The following is a 27,027-nucleotide window of genomic DNA, read 5'->3' on the forward strand; positions in this document are numbered from 1 at the left end:
CTTAAATTTGTTGAGACTTGTTTTGTGGCCTATCATATGGTCTATCTTCAAGAATGTTCCATATGCTGATGAATAGAATGTATATTCATCCCTTGTTGGGTAGAACGTTCTGTAAATATCCATTAAGTCCATTTGTTCTAGGATATAGATTAAGTCCAATGTTTCTTTGTTGACTTTCTGTCTTGATTAGCTGTCTAGTGCTGTCAGTGGAGTATTAAAGTCCTCCAATATTGTATTGCTGTCTATCTCATTTCTTAGGTCTGTAGTAATTGTTTTATAAATTTGGGAGCTTTAGTGTTTGGTACCAATATATTTACTATTGTAATATTTTCCTGTTGGACTAGTCCTTTTATCATTATATAATGTTTCACTTTGTCTTTTTAACTATTGTTTCTTTAAAGTTTGATTTGTCTGATATAAGAACAGCTACAATGCTCACTTTTGGTGTCCATTTGCATGGATTATCTTTTCCCACCCCTTCACCTTAAGTTTATGTGAGTCCTTATGTAAGGTGAGTCTCAGGAAGACAGCAGATACTTGGTTAGTAAATTCCATTTTTCCTCTCTGTATATTTTAAGTGGAGCATTTAGGCCATTTACATTAAATGTTGGTATTGAGATGTGAAGTACTCTTATATTCATCATGCTATTTGTTTCCTGAATACCTTTTTTTTTCCATTGTGTTGTTGTTTTATAGGTCCTATGAAATTTGTGCTTTAAGGAGATCCTATTTTGGTGTATTTTGATAATTTGTTTTAAGATTTAGAGCTCCTTTTAGCAGTTCTTGTAGTGCTGGCTTGGTAGTGGTGAATTCTCTCAGCATTTGTTTGTCTGGAAAAAACTTTATATTTCCTTCATTTATGAAGCTTAGTTTCACTGGACACAATACTTGACTGATAGATGTTTTGTTTAAAGAGGCTAAAAATAGGACCCCAATTCTTTCTAGCTTGTGGGATTTCTGCTGAGGAATCTGCTGTTAAACTAATAAGTTTTCCTTTATAGTTTACCTAATGCTTTTGCCTCACAGCTCTTAAGATTCTTTCCTTCGTCTTGTCTTTAGATAAGCTGATGACTATTTGCCTAGGTGACGATCTTAAGATTCTTTCATTCATCTTGTCTTTAGATAACCTGATGACTATGCACCCAGGTGATGAATTTCCCAGGTATTCTTTGAGCTTCCTGTATTTGGATATCTGGATATCTAACAAGGCCTGGGAAGTTTTCCTTGATTTTTCCCTCAAATATGTTTTCCAAACTTTTTCCTCAGGAACTCCAGTTATTCTTAGGTTTGGTCATTTAATATAATCCCGAACTTCTTAGAGGCTTTGTTCATTTTTTAAAAACTATTTTTTCTTTCTCTTTGTCAGATTCGGTTAATTTGAAAGTTGTGTCTTCGAGCTCTGAAGTTCTTTCTTCTGCTTGTTTGATTCTATTGCCAAGACTTTCCAGTGCATTTTGCAATTTTCTAAGTGTGTCCTTCATTTCCAGAAGTTGTGGTTGTTTTTTCTTTATGCTATTTATTTCACTGAAGAATTTTCCTTTCATATCCTGCATTATTATTATTTTTTATTTCTTTAAGTTGGACTTCACCTTTCTCTGGTGCATCCTTGATTGGCTTAATAGTCAAACTTCTGAATTCTTTTTCTGGTAATTCAGAGATTTCATCTTGGTTTGGATCCATTGCTGGAGAGCTAGTGTGATCTTTTGGGGGTGTTAAAGAAGCTCGTTTTGCCATATTATGAGGATTGTTTTTCTGGTTCCTTCTCATTTATGTAGACTATGTCAGAGGGAAGACGTTGGGCTCAAGGGCTGCTGTTGAGATTCTATTGTCCCATAGGGTGCTCCCCTGATGTTGTGGTCACCCCTATCCCCTAAAGATGGGGCTTTCTAAGAGCCAAACTGCAGTTATTGGTATTCCTCTTCTGGGTCTAGCCACCCAGTGGAGCTACCAGGCTCTGGGCTGATACTGGGGAATGTCTGCAAAGAGTCCTGTGATGTGATTAATCTTCAGTTTTCTCAGCTGTAGATACCTGTGTCTGCTCTGGTAGAGGTAGCAGAGTCAAGTGGTCTCTGTGAGGGTCCCTGGTTGTATTTTTAAGTGTGCTTTTTTTTTTATTGTTGTTGTTTGGCCTCTAACCGAAAGGTGGTGCTTTCAAGAGTGCCTCCAGTCAGGAGGTGGTGCTTTCAGGCAGTCGGCAGGGCCTTTAGGCACCCAAGATATATGTCTTTCATCTTCAGCTACCAGGGCAGGTAGAGAAAGATCATCAGGTGGAAACAGGGTTAGATGTGTCTGAGCTCAGATTCTCCTTGGGTGAGGCATTCTGTGGCTGCTGTGATGGATGGGTGTGTGATTTTCAGGCCAATGGACTTATGTTCCCAGGGGGATTATGGCTGCCTCTGCTGCATCACACAGATGGCCAGGAAAGCAGGGGCAAGCTGGCAGCCACAGGCCTTACCCAGCTCCCATGCAGCCCACAGCCCGAAAGGCTAGTCTCACTCCAACTGTGTCCTTCCAACAGCACCAAGTTAATTTTCTTGCAGCTGGTGAGCAGAGCTGAGGACTTGCCCAAGGGTACAAGCCTCCCAGCTGAGAAAGCAAGCAGACTCACAGTTCCTGGCTGTCACATGGAGCCTGCAGGGGCAATACACCTCCTTCAAAGGTTCTGTGGATTCTCTAGACTTTCTTGATATGTTCCTGCAGTAGTTCTTCAAGCAAAAGTTCACTGTGTGAGTCTCCATACACTACTGTCTTTGTTCGACTGGAAGCTGCAAGTTAGTCCTCCCCCCATCTGCTATTTTCCCTCCTATATTTCATCTCTGATTTCTTTGAGCAGTGCTTTGTAATTCTTGTAGAGATTGTTAACCTATCTGGTTAGCAGTATTCCTAGGTATTTTATTCTTTTTGTGGCTATTGTGAATTGGTGTTCTTGATTTGCGCTCAGCAAAAATGATGTTGGGTATAGAAATGCTACTGATTACTGATTTTTGTACATTGATCTTCTATCCTAAAACTTTGCTGAAGTTGCTTATCAATTTTAGGTGATTTTGGACAGAGAGTGTGGGTTTTTTAGGTACAGAATAATATCATCTGCAAACAGGGATAGTTTGGCTTCCTCTTTTCCTATTTGTATGCCCTTTATTTCTTTCTCTTGCCTGCTTGCTCTGGCCAGGACTTCCAGTACTATGTTGAATAGAAATGGTGGAGAGAGCATCTTTGTCTTGTGCCAGTTTTCAAGGGGAATGCTCAGGTTTTGCCCCTTCAGTATGATGTTGGCTGTGTAATCTTTATAGATAGCTTTTATTATTTTGAGGTATGTTCCTTTAATACCCAGTTTGTTGAGGGTTTTTAACACAAAGTTGTGTTTAATTTTATCAAAAGCCTTTATTCCTTCTATTGAGATAATCATGTGCTTTTTTACTTTAATTATGTTTATTTGTGGAATCACATTTATTTATTTCCACATGTTGAACCAACCTTATATCCCAGGGATAAAGCCTACTTAATCATGATGGATTAGCTTTTTGATGTACTGCTGGATTCAATGTGCTAGTATTTTGTTGAGAATTTTTACATCTATATTCATCAAAGATATTGGCCAGAAGGTTGGGGGGTGTGTGCGTGTGTGTGCGCGTGCGCCAGGTTTTGGTATGAGGATGCTGCTGGCTTGATGGAATGAGTTAAGGAGGAGTTTCTCCTCAATTTTTTGGAATAGTTTCTGTAGAAATGATACTGGTTCTTCTTCAAACATCTGGTAGAATTCAGGAGTGAAGTCATCTGGTCCTGGGCATTTTCTGGTTGGTAAGCCTTTTATAACTGACTTAATTTTGGAACTCATTAATGGTCTGTTCAGTGATTCAGTCTGTTCCTGGTTCAATCTTGGGAGGTTGTATGTTTCCAGATATTTATCAATATCTTATACGTTTTCTAGCGTAAGTAAATAGAGGTGTTGTAGTAGCCTCTGATGATTTTTGTATCTCTGTGGCATCAGTGTTAATGTCCTCTGTCATTTTGTATTGTGTTTATTTTGATCTTTTTTTCTTTGTTATTCTAGCTAGTGGTATATCTGTCTTACTTATTTTTTTCAAGAAAGTAACTCATGAACTCAAGTTTTGTATGGATTTTTGTGTCTCAACATCCTTTAGTTTAGCTCTAATTTTGGTTATTTATTGTCTCCTGCTAGCTCTGGGATTGGTTTGCTCTTTCTTCTCTAATTCCTGTAGGGTATGATGTTAGGTTGTTATTTTGAGATCTTTGTAGCTTTTTGATGTGGACACTTAGTGCTATAAACTTCCATCTCAACAATGCTTTAGCTGTGTCCCAGAGTTTCTCATATGTTGTATCTTCATTTTTATTAGTTTCAAATAACTTCTTGATTTCTGCCTTAATCTCATTGTTCACCCAAAAGTCATTCAGGAGCAGGTTGTTTAATTTTCATGTAATTCTGTGGTTTGAACAATCTTAGCATTGACTTATATTTTCATTGTATTGTGGTCTGAGAGTGTGTTTGCTAGTATTTCTTTTTTTTTGCATTTAATGAGGTTTTCTTTGTTGTTGTTGTTGTTTTAATGGCCAATTGTGTGGTCAATTTAGAGTATGTGCCATGTGCTGATGAAAGGACTGTATAATTTTCATTTTTCAGTAGGCAATTCTGTATATATCTATCAGGTATATTTGATCCAGTGCTGAGTTCAGGTCCTGAATATCTTAGTTTTCTGCCTTGATGATCTGTCTGATACTTTCAGTGGGGTACTGAAGCCCCCCTTTATTTTTGTATGGTAATAGAAGTTTCTTTGTTGGTCTCTAAGGACTTGCTTTATGAATCTGGGTGCTCCTGTGTTGGGGGGCATATATTTAGCATAGTTAGGTCTTCTTCTTGTTGAATTGAACTGTTTAGCATTATGCAATGCCCTTCTTTATCTTTTTAAATCTTTCTTGGTTTAAAGTCTGTTTTGTCTGAAAGAGGATTATTATCCCCTTCTTTCTTCTGTTTTCCATTTTACTGGTAGATTTTTTCCAACCTTTTACTTTGAGCCTATGGGCATTATTGCATTTGAGATGCGTATCTTAAAGACAGTACACAGTTGGATCTTGCTTCTTTATCCAACTTGCTACTCTGTGTCCTTTAATTGGAACAATTAGCTTGTTCACATTCAAGGCTAATATTAATATGTGTGGATTTGATCATTCTGTCATCATGTTGTTAGCTGTTTATTGTATGCACATGTTTGTATCATTGCTTAATAGTGTCAATGGTCTATGTACATCAGTATTTTTGTAATGGCTGGTAATGTTCTTCTATTTTCATATACAGCATTCCCTTCAGGACCTGTTGAAAGGCAAGTCCAGTGGTAATGAATTCCCTTAGCATTTATTTGCCTGAAATGGATCTTATTTCTCCTTAGCTTATGAAGCTTAATTTGGCTGGATATGAAATGTTGGAGTTTGCTTTATTTAAGAATGCTGAATATATGCCCCCAGTCTCTTCTGACTTGTAGCATTTCTGCTGAGTGGTCTTCTTTTAGCCTAATGGGGATCCCTTGTATGTATCATGCTTCTTCTCTCTAGCTGCCTTGAACATTTTTTCTTTCATTTTGACCTTGGAGAATCTGATTACTATGTGTCTCGGGTATAGTTTTCTTATGTACTATCTTCTGGGGGTTCTCTGCATTTCCTGAATTTGAATGTCAGCCTCTTTAATGATGATAGGGCTATTTTCATGGGTGATATTCTCAAATATGTTTTTCAAGTTGCTTGCTTTCTCTCATTCTCTTCAGGGATGCCAACGAGTCATATATTTTATCTCTTTACATAATCCTATATTTCTCAGAGTTTTGTTCATTCTTCTTTAATTTTTTTTCTTAATTTTTGTCTGAGTTATTTCAGAGAACTGGTTTTTTAACTCCAAATTGTTTTCTCAGACTGGACAATTCTGCTTTTAATACTTGCAATTGCATTGTGAAATTCTTGAAGTGAGTTTTGCAGCTGTATCAGATCAGTTTGATTCTTTCTTATAATGACCATTTCATCTTTTATTTTCTGCATCATTTTATTGTATTCCTTAGAATTTTTGTGTTAGGTTTCATCTTTCTCTAGGATCTTGATTATCTTTTTTTCTATCCATACTCTTAATTCTATGTCTGTTATTTCAGACATTTCAGCCTGGCTAAGAACCATTACTGGGGAAGTACTATGGGCATTTGGAGGTAAGAATACACTCTGGTTTTTTGAGTTGCCAGAGTTTCTTGTTCTGGTTCTTTCTCGACTATGTGGGCTGATGTTTCTTTAATCTTTAAAATTGCTGTTCTTTAGATAGGTTTTTTTTTAAATTTTATCTTCTTTGATGCCATTGAGGGTTTCATTGTAGTATAATGTGTGTTCAGTCAGTTGACTTTGTTTATGGAAGATTATAGGGGCCCAAGTCTCAGTTAACGCTCCTGGGCTGCATGCCATAAATTTTTGGGGCTGATATTGGGCAAGTAGCTTTGTTCTCTGGTCTGTTTAGGTTAGAAAGCTGTTGTGCTGGAAAGGCCATGGTGGTCCTAGACTACGGGCCACAGTGCTCTAATGTGTGATGCCAACCAATGTGCTTTGTTTGTGCAATGGCACTGAGATCTCTGCTTATTTGCACATTCCAGCAGGAGCAACAGCATAACGGGGTACATACAGGTTGACTGGGATGGGGAGCTAGTGGGCGTGGGGCTGCCAGCCTCCCTGTGCATGTTTGCAGTGGCAGTGGTGGCACCATGGGGCCAGGGGCAGGGCTGCTGGCATTTATGTGCTTGTCCATACTGGCAGCAGTGTCGGCACGGTGGTTGGGCACTGGTAGGCTGCAGGGCTGCTGGACTCCATGCACACGTTTGCTCCCACGGCAGTGAAAGTGCAGGCTGGGGAGCAAGGCCTCTGGCATCTGTGCACATGCACATCAGCAATGGCCGCTCAACCAGGGTACACAAGGATGTGCTTACTTGAGCAGCAGTGAGATGGGGTCCAAAACGGGTTGGGGGTGGCCGTAGCTGAGTGCAAAACAGGAGATTTTTAAAGATGAGAACTGGTAAAGGGAGACTAGGATACCAAAGGAAGCAAAATATGCCAATTCACAGAGATTTAAAAGAACAGGTTATGTTTTCCAGGGTATGAAGGCACAAAGGAACACAAAGGAAGAGTGGAAACACAAAGGAGGATGTTAGTAGAAATAAGATGGATAAAAAATTTGTTCCTAAACTCATAATTAATTAGTCTATATTACTTTTTCAGGGCATATGCTGCAAGTAAATATATTAAAAAGTAAAATTATTCTATTTATTTTATTATTCTCTAGTAAAGCCATCCCAAGCCTCTCAAGCATATTAAGTATGCTTCTAGCTCTCGGGCTCTCATCAAAGAAGTAAATGAAGACACTGCTTCAATTCACATTTAAAATCACCAGTATTTTCTACCAACATATGTAAGAAGACTGGTAGGAAGTCTGTAAGTGCAGGACATGAGTACTATCTGAAGATTATTCTATCTCAAAGAGAACAATAGATAATTCTGGCGGGACTGATAGCATTTGTATAGTCTTCTAGAATTTGAGAAAAAACATTTTCACTACTGACCCTGATTTTTACCTACACATTGAAAATAGAAGAGAATCACTATAACTATTTCTCATCTCAAAATGCTTTTTATCATAGACATAAACTGATTGGCAAAATTTGATGTTCATCAGCTGGTGTTTTACATCATTTGAATGAGATTTTTTTCAGTTGTCTGTCTTATCTAGAAAGAAAGTGGAAAAAGTCAACCTCAGAACTTAATGCAGAACAATTTAAACAGGGAATGCTAAAGTTCAGGTAGATGAGCCTAGTTCAAGAACTTTGTTCTTTGGAGCAAAACAGTGCTCTGTTGGAACTGATTTTCAATGCAGAAAGACTTTGAATTCTCTAAGGCGTTTTACCAGTTCTATTAAGTCAACAAGCTTGTCATTAAACAAATAGGTCAAGGTCATTAAACAAATAAAGAGATAAACTTCAATTCAAATCCAGATTTTGCTTACCTCAAAATCACAACATTGTATTACTATTGAGTACATACTCTGTGTAAAATCTTGTGTACTAAATGTGGTATGAAATACAAGAAACAAGGGAAGATTAAGCATGGTGATAAGATATAATTTTCCACTCTCTGAACTTTTCTTCTTTCATTTCCCCTTTGCTAATCTCTATGTTCTCTATAAATTTACTCTATCTCTATTCTTTGCACTTGCTACTTCCTCTCTTTCAATCACTCCTTCCTTAGACAGTGAATGTCTTGCCTCCTTTAGGCAGTCAGATCTCAACTTTTCTTTCTCCACAAAGAGGAAACTTGTAATCGCTCTTGATTTTCTTAGTCTGCTTTACTTTTTCTATAGTATTTATTTCCTGCAATTATAGTATATATTCATGTTTGTACTTATTTATAACCTGACTTAGCTACATTCTGGAAACTCTGTGAAGGCAGGAATTTTTGTCATGTTCACTATTTTATTCTCAGGGCCTATAACAATTCTGAGCTCACAATAGGTGCTCATTGACCACTTATAGTAGATAATCATTGATGTATACCTGCAGGTATTCATCAAATGAATGAATAAGTGATTCAATTAGTCGGTTTTCAGAGAGAAATACATTTGTAAAAATAGACTAATTGTAAGACAGAGAGAAATACATATGATAATATTAAAATTAGATCTGTAAACAAAATCCTGTGGGATTCTAAATAAGAAAGCAATTATTTCCAATTTGGGATTCATAGAAGGCATTACAAATGAACTGAAATTTGAGCTGACTTGGGAAATAAGTATTTCAGAAAAAGAGAGCATGATGCATACAGAGGCAGGGCAGAAAATGATTTAAGTGATAGCATTTATGAAGGATTTTTGTGGGAAGTGAGCCTGGAGTTACAGTTTTGCCTCCAGTGTCATGCAAAACCAAGTGAATACTTGCATGCATTGGGAAGCTGTGGAGTTTTACGGAAGAGATGAATATACCTGTCTCACCAACTGGCTCTATCTGGCAACAACGGGCAATCGTGCACGTGCAGTCATATAAATATAAGTGCATCCATTAATCCTTGAGACAAATCAACAGAAGTAGGAACTTAATGACTCTGATCTCTTGTTTACTCGTTTGACTTTGGTGAAAATACAAGTTCTTGGCCTTATTTGAGAAATGCTTATGTTAATTAACTTGAAGTTAACTGTTTATACTTCGTTAGTGTGTAGTGACATGTTTGCAATTAAAATATAGCACATTTTCCTGAGCTATAAACTGATCAGACATGGAGATTCTGGCAAATTCTAGGCAGTATCATAAAAAAATCATTTAAATAGCTCTCTTCTAAGGAGATCTGAATTCCAGTGTAGTATTTATCAACAATATATAGAACAAACTGTTTCTCAATTTATATTTAAAATGAAAACATCACTACCCTATACTTCTAATTCTAACAGAAGAAATAAGATATTTCATGTAAACTAATACTAAAGGTAAGTAACAGTAAACAATACAGAAAATAAAATATATACATGCTAGGGCAAGTGCTTTTCTTGATGCTTGCTAGTAAATGCATTGTATTCATCCATCTATTCTTAAATGATGAATATTCACATTTTATTTGTTAAAATACATAGTATACACTGCAGCTATAAAGAGATATAAAATATTGCCTGATCTTAAAAAAAAAAACTCATTTCTAAGGACAAGAAATATGCATTACAGGTGTTAAGTTGAACTTTAAAATTAAAACCAGTAAAACATTAAAAAGGAGCACCTTTTTCAAAAATATTTTCATTGATATAGTGAATAGATATATAAGCTAAACAATATATCTTAGAAATTTAATCAAAGTTCATCTCCAGCATTACCTATATTCTTTGTAAATAAAAATTAAGAAATTATTTGTAAACAATGATTCTATGGATACTTGTCTATATATATATATATATAATAATATATATATATTATTAAAATGAAGTGAGTTGTAGAAGTGCCGATAGCAAGATGGTAAAACTAATTTTTATTAACCGAGAGATTGACTTTATTTCAATTATATCTATATACTTTCTGCATCTAACCTAATAAAGGGTTATCAGCATAAATGTACAACAGATAAAACTATGCATAGTTTAAATGAATCTTGGTGTTTCTTCACTGATTGTGGCCCGTAAGTTCTAAAGATATATCAGCCTTATTGTTTTTATCATTAATAGAATGTCTGCGCAGAACAGTGACTGACTTGAATGGATACTTGCAGCACTCTAGTGGACATTCTGCTTAAGTGCGAAGACACCTTGTAGTAAAATAAATCATAGTACATGACACAAGATGTTCTTGAAAAAACAATCTCTACCTAAATACTGATATTTCACTTAAATCTATTCTTCTTGCACTGTATGTAATTAAATTTAAAATTAGTGTATTTATCCTGTTAATTCTTTTTAAATGCTGCGCATTTTTGGAAATAACACTTGAGAAATATGGAAGTGCAAAGTGATCAAGGAGGTGAGGAATTCTAAAGGTTAAGGAGTTCATTGAAGTTAAAGATGTTAGACCAGTCTGAAAGGCATTTTGAGGTCAATATTGTGTTGAATTATAAACGAAGGCAGATGAATAGCTTTATATTTCTGAAGTTCAATTAATTTTGTGCCTGTAATTTTGTTTGGCTGAGGTAGAGTCCTCAAACTTAGAAGAGAAAAAGTCAATTGAAGGAATACCATCTATAGAATATGTCAAATTGTTTACCAAAGGTTTTATTTTACAAGATGGTTGATCATTGAGGAATGAGGAAGAAGTAGTGGTTTTGTGGTGGGGGGTGGTAATATAAATTGCTCAAGAAATAGATGAGGGAGAAAATATATTAAACATAAAATATATTAAATAGAAAAAAATAGATACAGAAACATGTGAATAAAAATCCAGTGACAAATTCATATTCTGATAAAAATCTATATATATCTATTAAATTATATGTTTGTCTATGTAGTGGATACTTTTGATTAACTTGCAAATGTTTTCTTTCATTTTACCATTGATTGACTTTAAACTTTCTGAAAGATAATAATTGTTGAAAAATGTTTTAAATAATTCATCAGCTGAGATTTAAAATATCATTCTTGCCATTTGGTAATGAAATACATTTGGTGATAAAATGAAAGCTGACAATTGGGCAGATAAAATGATGTTTAGATAAGCTTATCTGTTTTCTTTAGCAGACATGTATGCATTAAAGTTGCACTTTACCTCACAAATAACACACAGATTTTTAAAAATATTTATTCAGGTTAAAAAAAGAGCTTTATAGAATAGCAGAAAAAATAAAAGATAGTATTTTATTCTAAACAATCTTATTTTCTAACCATAGATTTAAATACAAAATAAAAGGTTAAAAAAGTTTTTTTAACCATAGTAATATTTTTCTTTTTTTATTATTATTATACTTTAAGTTTTAGGGTACATGTGCACAACGCGCAGGTTTGTTATATATGTATACATGTGCCATGTTTGGTGTGCTGCACCCATTAACTCGTCATTTAGCATTAGGTATATCTCCTAATGCTATCCCTCCCCCCTCCCTCCACCCCACAACATTCCCCGGTGTGTAGTGTCTACACTCACACTCACACACACACACTCAGGTGGGCATACATGCACAAGTCAAATGTTAAAACAATATTTCTAATGCTAAAGCATTTAAACCATTGAATCAAAGAGTGTTCATCTGACATATGCAATACACATTGAAATACACAATGAGATACACATTGAAATGATTCCATACCTAAACAGTTTCTGAAGTATCTTTTTAAATTATAAGAGAAAAATGCATATTGTGAAATTCTTTCCATATAGTTTCCAACATGCAAATAAATAATTAAGGGGGTGAAAGGTTGAAATGAATGTGTCTTTATCAAGCTCAGTAATAATATTAATTATTATTGACAATATTTATGTAAGCCCTGTCTACATATGATCACGATTACAGAAATGTAAAACTAGTGAGAATATGTTTTAAAAATAAATAAATAATGCTCAGTTTGCTTTCCACTCCTAAATATATGGAATTGTCTTGCCTCAGTGGTACATGCTTTTTCTGCTGCGAATTGTTGAATTTAGATGAAATATGCACACACAAATCATAATGACATATTTCAAAGTCATCTCTACAAGATATTTACCTCATATTAAATTCCTTTTTGATAGTAGATAAAAACTATGTTATTTAAAACAAATGCCAAAATTTAATAATTTCAAATCTCGTGGTTTAGATTATTAGATTCTTTTCAAGAGAGAGAGTGGGAAAGTAGCAGTAAAAAAGGAAAAAAGATTGCATAAAGGCAATTACCAGTAACAAAGAAATATTATTCTGACACTAGTTAAAACATGAGGAAGACTTTATGCAGAATTATTAGCAATAGATGTCATGATTTTTGCAATAGATGTCATGATTTTTGCAATAGGGTAAAAAGAGCAGACTCAACTCCAAATACAGGAACAACAGCTGGGGATTTGTAGACAATGAGCAAAGTGAAGGCATCAGTAGATGGAAAATTAATCAGAGAAGGATTCTTGCTAAACTGACTTAATGGGATTCTTGTTGAAGGCAAGCCAGATGATTAGATATCAAGGGTGGGGAATTCTTGTTAAACTGACTTAGCAAGATTCTTTGTTTTAATTTTTAATTTTTATGGCTACATAATAGTTGTACATATTTATGGGATACATGTAATATTTTGATACAAGCATACAGTGTGTAATGATCAAATTAGGTAAGCCAGAAATCCATCACCTCAAGCATTTATCATTTATTTGTGTTATGAACATTCCAATTTTACCATTTTAGTTATGTTGAAATATAGAATAAACCATTTAACTATAGTCATCTTATTGTGCTACCAAACATTGAATCTTATTCTTTCTATATCTGACTGTATTTTTGTTCCCATTAACAAACTCCCTTCCCATGACCCTTCCCAGTAGCCATCATTCTACTCTCTATCCCTAGTTCTCTTTTCTTTTTTTTTTTGGTTCCCACCTATTAGTGATAGCATATGATGTTTGTCTTTTGTCTTTCTGTGCCTGGTTTATTTCACTTATCATTGTCCTTCAGTCCCATCCATGTTGCAAATGAAGGATCTCATTATTTTTATGTCTGAATAGTACTCCATTATATATAGATGGAGTACTATATATATACTTACATTATATTACATTATATTTTATATATATATATAAAGAAGATATGGAATTCACCTAAATGTTCATCAATGGATAAATAGGTTTTATTTAATGTGGTATACACACACACACACACACACACACACACACACACTGTGTATACCACATTAAAAAAAATTATCCATTGATGGTTGATTCCCTTAGGTTCAGCCTTAGGTTTATTCTGTATCTTCATTATTGTGAATTGTGCTGTGATAAACATGAGAGTATAGATATCATTTTGATACATTGATTTTCTTTCGAGTATATACCAAGCAGATTTGCTGCATTATATGGTAGTTATATTTTTAGCTTATCGATAAAGGGCTATAATGTTCTTCATAGAGGCTGTATACTAGTTAGCTGGATTCTTTTTTTCTTTTTTAGAAAGACTACTTGTTGAGAGCAGTTTTATGTTCACAGCAAAATTGAGAGAAAGATACAGAGATTTTCTATATACCCCTGCCTCCACACATGCACAGCCTCCCTCATGATGAATATTGCTCACCACAGTGGTACAGTTGCTTTGATGGATGATCCTACATTGACATTTAATCACTCAAAGTCCATAGTTTACATTAGGGTTCACTCTTGTTGTTGTACATTGCATGGCTTTACACAAAGGTATAATGACATGTGTTTATCATTACAGTAACATGTAAGGTATTTTCACTTCCCTAAAAACCCTCTGCTCTGCCAATGTATTCTTTTCTTCTCTTGCCAATCCTTTGACAACCAGTGATCTTTTTACCATATTCATAATTTTGCTTTTTCCAGAATGTTGCGTAGTTGGAACAATGCAGTAAGAAGCCTTTTCAGATTGACTTCTTTTACTTCGTAATATGCAGTTAAGTTCCTCCATGTCGTTTCATAGCTTGATATTTCATTTATTTTTATCACTGAGTAATATGCTATTATATGGCTGTAACACATTTTACTCATTCACCTATTGGAGGATATCTTGCTTGCTTCAAAAATTGGTTGAATTTATACATCCATGCTCATGAGGAAGTTTTCTTATTTGTAAAATCCTTGTCTGGTTTTGGTTGAGGGTAATGCTAACATTATTGAATGGGTTGGTATGTACTCCTTTTTATTTCTGGGGGAGAGTTTATGTAAAATTATATTATTTCTTCCTAAAATATTGGTAAAACTTAGCAGTATAGCTATCTGGGTCTGGAGCTTTTTGTAGGAAGGTTTTCAACTATGGCTAAATTTTCTTTTATAGATATAGGGCAATACAGATTATCCTCTGTTGATTGAGATTCGGTAATTTTTATTTCTCAAGGAATTTTTCAATTTTGGCTAAATTGCCATATTTATTCACATAAATTTTGTAATATTGCCTTGTTTTTTAAAAGTATCTATAGAATCTATAATATTATCACATTACTCATTTCCAAAGTTATTAATTTGTATCTTCTTGTTTTCCTGAACAGTCTGACTAGATAAAGCTTTATTACTTTTCTTGAACTCCTCAAATTCTTTGGTGGTATTGATATTTCCCACAGTTTTTCTGTTTTATTGGTTTCAGCTTTGACATCTTAGTCTTTTCATCCTGCTGTAACAAAATACCATAGACTGAGTAACTCACAAACAAAAGAAATTGATTTCTCACAGTTCTGGAAACTGCAAAGTCCAAGATCGAGGTGCTGTCAGATTTGATGTCTGGTGAGGGATCACTTCATGGTTCATACATGCATTATCTTCCCCGTGACCCTACATGGCAGAAGAGGTTAAGGGGATCTCTTGGGTCACCTGCTTAAGAACATTGATCAACTTATGAGGGCTTGGCCCCCATGATGTAATCATGTCCACAAAGCCCCACCTCCTAATAATGTCACCTCTGTGATGTGGCTTTATCATATAAATTTTGGAGGAACATAAAAACTCAGACCATAACATGTATTTATCATTTCCTTTCCTCTGCTTCCTTTGGGTTTAATTTTCTCTTCTTTTTTTCTAGTTTCTTAAGGTAGAAGTCAAAGTCATTGATTTGAGACTCTTCTATTACAGATATCAGTGTTGAAAATTTTTATTTAAATACTGTTGTAGCTGCATTCCACAATTTATGATATGTTGTATTTTCATTTTCACTTAGTTAAAAATACTTTCTAACTTCTATTTTTATTACCTCTGACCCAGGGTTATTTGGATCTGTGTTACTTGGTTTCCAAATGGTTGAGTTTTTCCAGATATAATTTTGTTATTGATTTCTAATTTGATTGCTTTTTAGTCAAGGAATATGTTTCATATGACTTAAATCCTTTTGACTTAATCATTTTATTAAGATATATTGTATGAGCTAGAGTAAGCTCTATTTTGGTAAGTGTTCCATGGGTACTTGAGGAGAATGTATTCAAGTCTCCTCTATTCTTGCTGATTTTCTGTCTCCTTGTTCTATCAACTGAGTAAAGGGATACAGAAATCTCAGACTATACTTTTTAATTTGTCTATTTCTTTTGCAGTTCTGTTCATTTTCTTTGTATCATGTATTCGGAAACTTTTATGTTATTAGGTACATAAATGTATAGGACTGTCATATCTTCTTGATTAATTAAAACTTTTATCATTATGAAATGACCTTGCTTATTGCTGGTAATATTTTTACTATGAAATCTACTGTAGTATTAAATAGCCACTCCCCATCAGCCTTCTTTTGTCAAGTGTTAATGTGGTATATCCTGTTCTATCCTTTAACCAATGTGTGTCTTTTTATTTAAAATATACTTCTTGTAGGCAGCATTTAGATGGGCCTTGCTTTTTTATACATTCTGACAATCTGCCTTTGTTTTTTTTTTTTTAGTTTTTGTTTTCTTAATTTTATTTTAGGTTCAGGGGTACATGTGCAGGTTTATTATATAGGTAAATTGCATGTTGTGGGGGTGTGGGGGTTTGGTGTACAGAGTGTTTCATCAGCCACATAATAAGTATAGTACCTGACAAAAAGTTTTTGATTCACACCCTGCTCCCAACCTCCACCCTCAAGTAGGCCCTGGATCTTTGATTCCCTTATTTGTGTCCATACGTATTTAATGTTTAGCCTCCACTTAAAAGTGAGAACATGTGGTATTTGTTTTTCTGTTCCTGTGTTGGTCCGCTCAGGATAATGGCCTCCAGCTCTATCCTTGTTGCTGCATAGGACATAATTTCATTCTTTTTTATGGCTGTGTAGTATTCCATGGTATCTATGTTCCACATTTTCTTTATCCAGTTTACCATTGACGGGCATTAAGTTCATTCCATGTCTTTGCTATTGTAAATAGTACAGTGAACAGGATTCTTGTTACAATTGGGATGGGCTTGGGGACCAGGCCCAAGGATGAGGCCAAGTTGAAAAGAGGGCTCAGAGAAGCCCATCTACGGTTTGGTCAAGGAGAGACTCTGTCACTTGCAAAATAATTTTGAAGGAGACTTAATTGCTATCATTCATTTATATAATGCTGGGTACTCGAAGCATGAGAATGCAACAGTCCATGCCTTTTTCATATTCATTTTCATGAGGTACATGAAATATATAACACTTTTGGATATTTGTTACCACACTCAAAAGTTTTGCATCTTCTATATTCTCTACTAATGAATTTACATTTATGCATGGTATGCTTGATTAGTATTTGCATTGTGCTTTGAATTTCTAAACATGTTGAAATAATTGATTAGTTATTTCTCCCATAGCCCCATATGAGATAAGACTAATGCTTAGTTCTTATGTAATGTTTCCAACATCAGCGCTTTTAATAAATATCACCTAGTTAGTTTTGATATCACTCTTGAAGGCTATTATCTCCACTTTATTTTATTAAAAAAAACAGAAACAGGATGAATAAACCACTTTTCTGAACTGATAAAGGGAATAATTATGAGGAATAGGAAAATTGGGTCTCAAATAGAATAAAAAATAAGGGAGAATCTATAAGCACTTTAAAGATCTTATGAGCTTTTTTGTATAATAGCCCTCAATGCAATCTAAATAGAAAAGAAATAATTTAGGAATCATATAACATCAGCTAACTTTTATGAAAATTTAGGATAGTCACTTCAACTTACTTTGCTACATTTTCTTTACCTGTAAAATTACAATGCTTATGCCTTACTGACCTTTTTCAAAAAATTGTAAAGAAATATCAATTAATGCATGTGAAAAAATCTTCAAAGAACAGTATGATTAACAGTGTCACAGTTTTAGAATGCAAAGGTATATCTGTATCTTGCTTTTGAATAAATTTGTTGATTCACAAAAGCCTGAATATATCCCCAAATTCCACCCACAAGATGAGGACCTAACTTTTTTGCATGGCTAGCCAGTCCTTTCAAGTACCATCTGTCTAGCCCCTGCATGATCTGTTCCCTGAATACCTTTCAAGCCTCATTTCTTGCCAGTCTCTGTTCTTTTCATTATGCTCTAGGCAATCTGACCTCACTAACCCTGCAAAAAGCCTACTTCAGTTCCTTCATATGTACATTTTTCCTCTTTCTGAATCCCTGTTTTCAATTGCCTTCACCTAGTTACTCCTACACATTCATTAAAAGGCAATCACTCAGCAAAGCTTTCTGATCTCCCACACCAGCCAATTCTTCTCCCTGTATAAATAGAAATTATTATATACTTTTCCTTTATATCATTTATCAGAGTTGTAGTTAAATACATATATAGTCACATATATATTTGATTTGTTTAAAATCTACTATCTCCCACTAAACTGCGACCTCCATGAATGTGTAGTGTAGTGCAGTGTCTGGTGTGCTCAGGGCTTTAATTCCCAGTCTCTAGCTCAGTATCTCATGTCTAAAGGTATTACCTGAATATTGTTGAATATTGTTGTTATGTTGTACCTCTTTTTTTTGGAGAGGAATTTTTTTATTTTAATTTTTTATTTGACTTTAAGTTCTGGGATACATGTGCTGAATGTGCAGGTTTGTTACATTGGTATACATGTGCCGTGGTGGTTTGCTGCACCTATCAACTCATCATCTAGGTTTTAAGCTCTGTGTGTATTAGGTATTTGTCCTAATCCTCTCCCTCCCCTTTTCCCACATGCCCCAGAAGGCCCCAGTGTGTGATGTTCCCTTCCCTGTGTCCATGTATTCTCATTGTTCAGCTCCCACTTATGAGTGAGAACATAGGGTGTTTTTCTGTTCCTGTGTTAGTTTGCTGAGGATGGGTTCCAGCTCCATCCATGTCCCTGCAAAGGACATTAACTCATTCTTTTTTATGGCTGCATAGTATTCCATGGTGTATATGTGACACATTTTCTTTATCCAGTCTATCATTGATGGACATTTGGGTTGGTTCCAAGTCTTTGCTGTTGTAAATAGTGCTGCAGTGAACACATGTATGCGTGTGTCTTTATAGTAGAAGATTTATAATCATTTGGGTATATACCCAGTAATGAGATTGCTGGACCAAATGGTATTTCTGGTTCCAGATCCTTGAGGAATCACCACACTGTCTTCCCCAGTGGTTGAACTAATTTACACTCCTACCAACAGTGTAAAAGCGTTCCTATTTCTCCACATCCTCTCCAGCATTGGTTGTTTCCTGACTTTTTCATGATTGCCTTTCTAACTGGCGTGAGATGGTATCTCATTGTGGTTTTGATTTGCATTTGTCTAATGACCAGTGATGATGAGCTTTTTTTCATATGTTTATGAAAATGCTGCATAAATGTCTTCTTTTGAGAATTGTCTGTTCATATCCTTAGCCCACTTTTTGATGGGATCTTTTTTTTAATATATATATCGTACCTCTTAGCTCCCTTTCTCTTCTAGATCACAAATATGCTATTGGAGGACATAGAAAAACCAAGTATATTTGGGAGCAACAATTTAGCTAATGTTAGAAAGAAAAGTAGGAAAACTGCTGCTTTTAGTCCCTATTTAACCCAAAATGCTGAATTCCTGGACTTTTGATGTCAGTTTACCTTAGTTATCAAGATTGCTTAAGGTGTAAACAGGGGATCCTAAATTCATGCACAAGGAGTGTCTGAATTCAAGAAAACTCTAATATCATAGTTGGGGGTATGGTGTTTGAGGGAATAATCAGGATAAATAGACATTTCATCATTCATATCATGGGCAACAGAAAAGAATGGTTATTGGGAATAAACATTAATTTTATGAAGAACACATTAAAAGATAGGGTAATAATTTTTTACTGAGATGAGATTTTTAAAAAGGTAAATAAAGTTAGAAATATTACAAGGAACCACAAATTATAATGACACAATGCAAAAAAAAAAAAAAAACTCCTTTTGTACTAGTAAAGGTAGAAATGGACTATAGAAAGCCAAATAATTTGTATGGGAATAAATATGGTCAAGAGATTTAGAGAAATATCAAATAGATGAAAACAGTTAAAGGTGATAGTAATGAAGACAAGGAAAAAATCTAATAGAGTTATGTTGGTTTTTTTGTTTGTTTGTTTTGTTTTGTTTGAGACGGAGTCTCACTCTGTTGCCAGGGCTGGAGTGCAGTAGGCGCGATCTTGGCTCACTGCAACCTCCGCCTCCCAGGTTCCAGCGATTCTCCCGCCCCGGCCTCCCGAGTAGCTGGGATTACAGGTGCCTGCCACTACGCCCAGATAATTTTTTGTAATTTTATTACAGACGGAGTTTCACTGGCCAGGCTGGTCTCCAACTCCTGGCCTCATGATTCACCCACCTCAGCCTGCCAAAGTGCTGGGATTACAGAAGTAAGCCACCGCACCTGGCCCCAATAGAGTTTTCGTACGTATTCTTGAGGACAATGTGTAAACAAATAGAATAAAAATAATAAGTATATTTGGTAGAAAACTAACTTTCTCTGCTAAAGAGAAAATTCTGTACATCTAAAAGAGTCCTTCACATATTACAAAATACAGAAAAGATAAATTCTCAAGTAAATTCTATTAAAATTATTTAACTATAAGTTAAAAATTATATACTGTGTAAGCCCAGAGAGCAAACTTGTTTTTTCAATAAGAAAACTGTTGCTTGTTCTTAGGTTTCCTTTCTGCTTTGTTAAACAAGAGAAGATAATGGAGAGGTTAGGGGGGAAAACAGCCAAAATGACCTCTCCCCAACTACCTCGTAATGCCAGAGGGCTTAGGATGAATAACATTCACTTCATTCAATTAAAAAATAAATGTAAAAAAATCACCACAAAACTCCAGAATGAAAATTTGCGGTCTGAAAGGACAGGTAATGCAATCATTATTTAAATAATTGTTGAAAATATGGTTACACATTTTATGAAAGCAATTCTGTTTGAAAGTAAAGATATATAGCAAAAAAATGAAAGTAAACAATAAAATTTATTCTAAAATCCCAAATTATACAGCACAAATCCAATAGTATTAATTCCAATTACTAATCATTTAAAAATAACCAAAGACTTGGATGCAAAAAAAAAATTTTGTTAAAATGTTTCTTGCAAATCTACATAGTAAAGTAAGATGGAAAACAAATAAAATGCTCCATTAAATAGGATTGGATAAATAAATTGTGATATATCCTTAAAAACAAAAGGCTCTTCCTCTTCTAAAACTCATGTTTTATCAAAGTATTTAATGAAATGTAAAGACAGGTTACAACAGTGAGTACTATAACTATTTCAAATCATTGTGTAATTCACTGTAATAAGTTTTTTTGTTTGTCTTTTTTTTTTTTTTTTTTTTTTTTTGAGACGGAGTCTTGCTCTGTCGCCAGGCTGGAGTGCAGTGGCGCGTTCTCAGCCCACTGCAACCTCCACCTCCCGGGTTCAAGCGATTCCCCTCCCTCAGCCTCCAGAGTAGGTAGGACTACAAGAGCGCGCCACCACGCCGGGCTATTTTTTTTTTTTTTTTTGTATTTCAGTAGAGATGGAGTTTCACCGTGTTAGCCAGGATGGTCTTGATTTCCTGACCTCGTGATCCACCCGCCTCGGCCTCCCAAAGTGCTGGGATTACAGGCGTGAGCCACCACGCCAGGCCAATAAGTTTTAATAAGAAAAGTTAAATAATTTTTTTTATAAATTGTTTTAACCATTTAGATATGCCTGAAGTATGTCTAGAGTTTAAAATGGGTTAGATCAAATTTGAATATGTAGAAAAGCTTGGGGGCTAAAATCCCATATCTATCCATTTCAACTATGTTGATTATTAAAAACCAAAAAAAAAAAAAAAACAGAAAAATATGTCTATAATATTAAGATAAAATGAGTTGCAAATCTAAGTCACAAAAAGATACTTATTTGTACATCTTTAAATATAAAATTAAAATCAGGAAGTCATCTGAGGTGTACCATGTTTCAGTAACTGGCAAACTTCACATAGAATTCATAAGTGTCTTTTGATGGATAACCTGGGAAAATTTTATGATTAATAATGAAGATTTTTCTTCAAAATTTTAAAACGTATTTTCCAAAAGGGGGTGAAAAAGTAATGATGACAAACAGGTGCAAGTATATATAGCAGGAGTCAGAAAACAAGCTTATGTAATCTAACTCTTTTTTTTAAGGATATGTGCATCTTCACCTTTGATAAATACTGCGAACATTTAAAAACCTGACAACGTCAAGGACTGGTGAACGTGTCACATGTGATGGGTGTGAAATGGCATCTCTCCGCAGCAGGTGCTGGAGACAGTTTGGCCTTAGAGAGGCACTTAGTTATAGCAAGAATGTTTTATAAATGGTATTTGATATAGTCTAATTAAGATTAATGGGGAATAAAAAATGCTGCTTAGAAATAATAATTCATAGATCTAAAGTCAACAAAATCTTTTTATTTAATGTAACAATATATAAGATTTTACAGAAAGGGAGAACAACTTGAAATAAATCAGGAAACGCTTTTATATTAATCATTCTTTTCATATACTTCAAATTTGTACTTAATGCCTTTCTCCTCCTCCACATCAGAGACAACACCTTGTGGGTATTCTGGGAGAAGTTTATATTTCTCTAAATCACCTTCTAGGGGAAAAAAACGTGTCACTTTGAAAGTCCTGCATGATCCATGTCACAAATAGTTTAAAATGGTCTCAATTCATGGATTCCTTATAAACAGAACTGCCTCCCACTGTAAAAAACACGTCTTGTTTATTTGCTAATTTTAGTTGCTCAATACGTTTTAAGGCATCACCCAGACTTTAGTCAAGAAAAGGAGGTCTTTGCGGTGGTTCCTTGGATTCTCTACTGACAACTAAATTAATTATATACTTTAAAGGTTGATTCTTCTCAGTAATCGAGAACCAGTTCTTCCTAATTAAAAATACTAAATTTTCTTTACCCTCTGCTGAAGAGGGTGTGGTCATTCTTTGGAATCGAATTTATTTTTGAGCTGAGGTCAGGGCAGGTCCCCATTCCTGATGATGCCCATCTTCTGGGAAACATTGACAATGCAGTTTAGCGGATGAACCATGACAACAGCAGTGAACACCTATGAGCTGGGTCACAACACCAGGATGCAAGACCAAGAATCATGCGAAATTCTAACTCTTGTTTTTATATTGCCAATCATTATTTCCATTTCTTCCTTGGATTTGGGTTACTGTTGATGATTAAGATTATTGCTAATATTTATAATATTTTATCAGAATTATATTTTGTGATTAATAAGAAATATTTTAAATCCATAAATTAGATAATGGGTTCACCTATAAATATTTTTAACCAAATAAGAAATTTAAAAATTTACAGGATTAAGTATAGTTATAATATTTGCTGTTTTCAGTTGCATGAATGTTATATGGGGAGAAGAGTTAACCTGTAAATAAATAACTATTCAACCTTGATTTTTACCTTTGTTTACTTAAATTTATATTTTCAGTCTTTTGGCAAATTTATTTTTGATAATGACTTTTTTGTTTTTTTTTTTGTTTTGATTTTGCTTTTTGAGTCATGGAAAATGTTTTATAAAGAGAAATACAACATGACTGTCTTTCTTCCAAAAGAAATATAAGACTTGCATAGAAAAGTTTCAACTGTGAGGCAATATCTACCACAATCATTAAGGCAGATGGTTTACCTTCATGTAATATTCAATTATCTCTTAGCTACCTATACTTTAAGTATATAATGTGAAGTGTTGAGTGCCTGATATTTATTCCATACAAACTTAACAGTATTATAATTGCTTCACCTTTTTGATTCATATCATTTTAGTTTTGATGACGTTAGTGGTCTACTGAATTAAAAAAAACACTTTTGTTTGTACCACATATTCCTCAGATAGAACAAACAAACTATCGATGGAGGCTGCTGGCTGTCTTCGGTTTCTTGGGGTTTTCTGTGTGAGTTCATGTGTATCTACCTATATACACCAAATTAAACTATAATTCTCAACGAATCTTAGAATTCCCTCCAAGTAAGAGAGATGAGGAGGGGCTTACACCCTCCATGATACTAACTAAAAAGAACACCTCATTTATACTCAATCTTAATCTTTTTCTGGCCTTTATTTAATCTCAATTTGCAACTAATTTATTTATTTGATTATTTGATAAATGTCTATCCTCCCCACTGTGTTTTAAGCACTGTCAGAGCAAAGATCACATCTCTTTTGTTCACCATTGTACCCTAACACTTAGGGCAGGGTTTAGTTGAAGAAAATTCAAAGAAGAGAGCTACAAAGAGAATATAGGCTGCAGAATTATTGGCCTAACTCCTCAGGGTCCTGTCAGGGGACAAATCAACTTTTTCCTTATCTGTGTTTTTATGCTCTTTGACTCAAAATGCCCAGGAAAAAAAAAGTGCTCAAATTGTTCTGGCCTGAGTCTCTTGCCTGCTTCTTGGCAAAAAGAACACAGGGCACCTGAACTGATAGACACACAAACTGTACAATAAAAGAATAATAATTCCTCACAGAAAATCCAGGTGTTGTTACCAGACCATAGCAGGGATGGATACCAGGAAAGCAAAACTGAGAGATGCTCATTACAGGGAATAAACAAATGGTTCTGTATTTCCAATAAGTTCTTCACAATAGCAATACCAGAAGATGTGCAAAAAAAGCTGTCACATTTCCTTTAATGTCAGTTACCCCTTACAATAACCAACAGCAAGTTAATTCATTTTTTATTAAAATGTTTGTGCCAGCAGATATTTTGGAAGGATTATCTAGACTGTATACCAAGATGGCTCACATCCTTAAAGCATTTTTTAAATATTATGAAGTGTTTTTCCCTTACATTGCTACTCCATGAAGGCAGAGACCATGCCTATTTTGTGTACCTCTATATTCCTAGTACATGCTCAGAGCCTGGCACAAAATACACACCCAGATATTATTGAATGACTAAATCAATGAAGGACTACAGAGGGTTTCTAACTGTATACAGGCATGTTTGATCTGTTTCCCTTGTGGGAACTAAAAATAAGTTAAGACTGGAATTATTTTAAGATGTTTTTAATACAAATTTGAAATACAAGTTAGATACAAATACTTTAAATTTGCATTTAAAAACATCTTAAAATAATTTCGATCTTAATTTCTGTTTAGTTCTGATAAGGGAAACAAATAAAGCCAAACCTATAGTTTCAAAAGGAAAATATCAGTGTCACTTCTGGATTATGTTCAGCTTAAGATTCTCATGAAACTTTTTAGGAGGATAGAAAATCATGTAAGATGATCTTGTGCTAGTTTGTCTCTGCTCTGAGGCAGAAAATAAGATCTTCATAGACAGGTTTGAGAGCTTAAATTCCTACAAAATAGTTCTAAAAGTATGAGGGGCTAAATCTTGACACTAATTCACCTAGTGTGGTATTATTTTCCTGAAATAATCCTCCCTGGCAACTTGTCATGAAAATCTATCAGACGGACACATTTCTTCATCTATTGAATTTTTTCCGTTGACATCTCCGTTAAGTGATATTATTAATTCTGTTCAAAATGTAATTCTTTTTCAGTTGTACTGTCTACTGGGGCCTGAAATATTCATACTGACTGTTCCTCACATTTTAATTTATTTTTTGCTAACTGTAGAATATGATTTCCTTGAAAGCAAATAAGCTTTCTTGTGCTTATTCCTGGTTTCATTGGTTTACTACCCTACAGCCACATCTCTAGCAAGAAATTATTTGACTTTGCTGTGTCTTTGGTCAGATGAAGGCCCATTCAAACCAGTGCTGTTGATCATATAGCAACTAGGTAATAGGAAGAGTATTATGCTGAATTAAAATCTTATTAATAACTCTGATATGTATTATATATTTGCCTTTGGAATGCCTTTTTTCGTAATATTTGAATCATTATTCATGGAATGAGAGCAAGAGTATAAATAGTAGATCTGTTATATCAAATGGAATACCAGATAAGAATGGCTAGCACACTGACAGAATCATGACAAGTATTCGAAAATGGTTATTTTCTTCCTTCACTTCCAAACAGAAAATGGCTACACTTTTTCTGACCCAGTAGACTACTAATAACTGAAAAGTGTTCCTCAGCTATAAGGTGGATATGCATTGCCTAATAAAGACTCTAATCTGCTAATAATCCATATAGAGACTACATGAAAGCTTATGCAGAAATCTAATGGAAATTTTTCTTCTAGCATCATTCAAGGCTGGACATGAATTTGTCTTTGTCTACCTTATACCTGCAAATAATTATATTAGATCAGAAGCATTTAATTTCTCCTTATTTGATATGTGATATTGTTGTCACTTTGTATTTGAAACTGAAATGGTAAGATTAAAGACTGTGTCAAACAGCTAGATACAACTACAGTATTTAGCCAGCATATAACCATGAACTAACACAGTGCCTAGAATCTATTGGATACTCAATAAATATATATTGGAGAAATAAAATATACAAATGAATAAAGTTGTACTATCTACTGGGACCTGAGATAAAATATGAATGATGAAGATTTTTCTGTGTTTATATCCATATATCTAAACATAATCTTCGAACCTTCCTTTAGGGAAGCTCTCACTGCCCACTACATACCAATAAATCATAGACACTTCAATCCAGCTCCTTATGCCCAGAATTAGACTGACAGTACTAAGTACTTTGTTCAATAATGCCTACTGCTTAATAAAATATACAAATCATGCCAAGTAAATGTGACATAATATGTGCTAAACAGTGCTATTCATTTTACCCACAGTGTTAAAGACAGAGTATACAACTTTAGCATTTTAAAATATTATATGTTAAAGCAAAACCAGAAGAAAATAAATGGGATCATTTGATGGTTTGCAGCAAGCTAATTTTGGGAGAAAAGCCCTTTGTAATAAAGCTAATGTGATCTTGGGTAAAGGAAGCTATCTGCACCTGCACTGCAGAGATAACTGCGAAAGAAAGCAGGCACAATGCCAGGGAGCACAAAGAAGAGTGTGAAACCCAAACTGGTGGATAAGGGCGTTGGAAGATGAACTGTCTGGTTGAATATTATAGAACAGGCAAACTTTAAGTTACATATGGGAATTTTCACAGGAAAGATTGGGAAAAGGCATTCCAGGAAGAAGAAGCAACATATATTAAGATACAAAATAAAAGATAATATGTGGTATATAAGAAATGTGAGGTATGTGGTTTGAGGGCAGCTGAATGATAAGCTAGACTCATGATAGGCCTGATTAGTGTGGCTAAGACATTTGGGTTATAAACAAAGTTAAAGAGAAGACATTGAGAATTTTGAGCAAACAATAATGTATCAAATCTATGTATACAGTTGTTTCTCTTGGTGTTTGTGGGGGATTGATTCCAGGACCTTTTGGGAATACCAAAACCTAAGATGCTCAAGTACCTTATATAAAATGGAACAATATTTTCATGCTCTGTATACTTTAAATAATCTCTAGATTACTTAATAACACTTAA

The 27,027-nt window shown here is 34.5% G+C and overlaps 1 pseudogene; it reads right to left on the reverse strand.

Moving 5' to 3' along the window:
* Positions 1-21,853: 21,853 nt before the first annotated feature.
* Positions 21,854-22,684, reverse strand: DHFRP5 (dihydrofolate reductase pseudogene 5; annotated as a pseudogene).

Source organism: Homo sapiens, chromosome 6 (assembly GCF_000001405.40).
Source record: "Homo sapiens chromosome 6, GRCh38.p14 Primary Assembly".
Classification (NCBI taxonomy): domain Eukaryota; kingdom Metazoa; phylum Chordata; class Mammalia; order Primates; family Hominidae; genus Homo; species Homo sapiens.